The sequence below is a fragment of the Homo sapiens genome, chromosome 2, assembly GCF_000001405.40.
Source record: "Homo sapiens chromosome 2, GRCh38.p14 Primary Assembly".
In the NCBI taxonomy this organism is placed as follows: domain Eukaryota; kingdom Metazoa; phylum Chordata; class Mammalia; order Primates; family Hominidae; genus Homo; species Homo sapiens.
Window position 1 is genome coordinate 174712410 of NC_000002.12, and position 2348 is coordinate 174714757.

Here is a 2348-nt window from a genome sequence, read left to right on the forward strand (position 1 = left end):
TTTAATATTAGAAGTGTTTTGGTCTTTATTTAGAAGTTTGGTGATGTTTTTGTGACCAGAAATAGGCCATAGGAACTTAACTGTTGTTTACATCAATTAGCCTGTAGCAAAATTGGTTTTGTTATACAGTGGACAGTTGCAGTTTCCAAGAACCTATTGACAATGTTAAGTGCAGATTTACTATATATGTATTTATTAATTTATTTTGTAATTGTTTTCAGCAGCAGCCTTTATCTAAAGCTCACTGGCCTACCATTGCCAGACACGGCATTGCTAGCCATATTTTTTCCACTTTATTCTTTTATCCACTTGGAATATGTTTATGTGATGAATCTTTGCTCTACTTCAAATCCTCTCCAGACATGACCTTTTTTGCACAGTCCAGCCATATCTTATTGCTTCATAATAGCACTGTGGACTCTTCCTTAAAGTGGGGGCTGTGTTGGAGCTTGTCACTGAGAAGGGCTGGGCTGGCAGGTCACCCAGCGTCTCTCTACCCTACAATTTAGTAATTTGAAACAACATTTATCACCTCAGATTCTGTCAGTTAGGAGGCTGGGTCCCCAGCCAGGAGCCTGTCACAGGCTGCAGGGAGGGTGTCAGCTGGGATGTGTTCACCTCAGATACCACCAGGCAGGGCCCCTTTTTCTCACTGGCCTGGTTCCTGGGGGTATTTGGTCTCTCATGGGCTGTTGGCTGGAGCTGCCCCAGGTCCTCGCTGCAAGGGCCTTTCCATAGGGCAGCTTGTGAGACATAGGGCAGCTTGTGAGAACCAGGGGTTGGGGGTAGGGGCGAGAGACAGAGAGAGAGAGAAAATTTCTATTTTCACAGTCTCTCACGACCTAATCTCACCTTTAGCAGACTCTGGGGGTTAGTCGCAAGTCAGTAAGACACAAGGAGGGGTCAGGCAAGGCCATGAGCTCATGAAGGCAGGATGCTTGGGGCCATCTTGGAGGTCGGCCCACCTTACCTCTCGGGGCTGGCCTTGTTTTCAAGCATGCTCTCCTGAGGTGCCAAGAGGGCTACTGGCAACTCCAGGCTGGGGCACCACAGCCCAGCACCCACAGCAACTCTGTCCCAAGGTGCCTCTCACTGGGCCTGCTTGAGTTCAGTGCTCATCCTGTGGTCAGGTGGAAGGAAGGTGCCAGTAGCCTGTGGTCCTCATTCATCCTGGAGTCTGAGGGAGGGCTATCCAGAAGCCGAGAGGATGGAACAAGTAAGGAGAGTTCTCAGAAGGAGAATCTCATTGCCAGGAGGGCCATGGGTTCCAGACAGGCAGAAACAACCTAGCCATCTCCACCAGGTTCCTGTCGGTCGGGCTGTTGTTTAGGACTGGCCTCTTTCTTACCCAGGCCTCTTCAAAATGCTCTTATTTTTCAGCTCCTAAATATCATGACCAAAACTTGTGACTGATTAAAATTGCATTTATGATGCAGTTTAATTTGCAATGTTAATTGTTTCTGCCCCATAACATGGCATGCATTTATTCCAGTCATCATATGTATCCCTCAGTGAAGTTAGGTCACTTTCTTCTTGGCTGTACATACTTTTTAGGTTAGGATTGTTCCTGGGTATTTTATGTTTTTATGGCTCCTGTGAAAGGGACTTAATTTTTATCTTTTCTGCCCAGTTATTGATATAAAGGGAAGCTATTTGATATCATAATAGTTTTTCTAATAATTTTCATGAAGGCAAATAAGGATGAATTTATGTCTTTTTGTTTCCTTGTCTAATGCAGGTCCCATCCGGTAACATTAACACTCTTCAGCACCCCTGTCTGGTCCACAGAGCGCATCCAGCCTTTAACTCATAGTCACGATGCTGGTTATAGAGCTGAGATGTATGTGTGTGTGTCTCTTGTTCAGTTGGAGTGGATGTTGACTTTATTAAGTGTGGTCCTGAGGCACTGAGGTCAGTCGTACATGCAGATTTCTAAGGTTTACACTGTGGCCTTGTCTCCACTTGGCCATTGTAACTGTTCCCGCGTGCCTGGTAAATATCCACACGGGAGATGGATTGTAGTTTTCTTATTCTGTGGCATCATTCTCAGGTTTCTGTGCATACTTTAAAAAGTCTGTACTCCTCCGTCCTTTTATTCGGCCCCCTCTCCTGGTGTTTTCTAACTTTTCTACTTGAATGTCACCTGCATTTCAGTGGGCAAACAATTGCCTGTGGGCCAAATCCCATCCACTGCCTGCTTTTGTAATAAAGTTGTGCTGGGACATAGGCCTGATCATTTGGTTACAGATCATCTGTGGCTGCTTTCTTGCTACAGTGGCAGAGTTGAGTAGCTGTGACAGACTGGGTGACCCTCAACCCTGAATTATGTATGGGGTGGACCCCTGCAT

At 46.0% G+C, this 2348-nt stretch overlaps 1 annotated feature.

The window, feature by feature from the left end:
* Positions 1019–1231: a silencer, noted in NCBI's record as "fragment chr2:175578156-175578368 (GRCh37/hg19 assembly coordinates)". NCBI's record gives its function as "represses an EF-1alpha promoter that drives an FKBP-Casp9 reporter gene in an ReSE screen in phorbol 12-myristate 13-acetate-treated (for megakaryocytic differentiation) K562 erythroleukemia cells {active_cell/tissue: K562(+PMA)}" and the evidence as "EXISTENCE:reporter gene assay evidence [ECO:0000049][PMID:32094911]".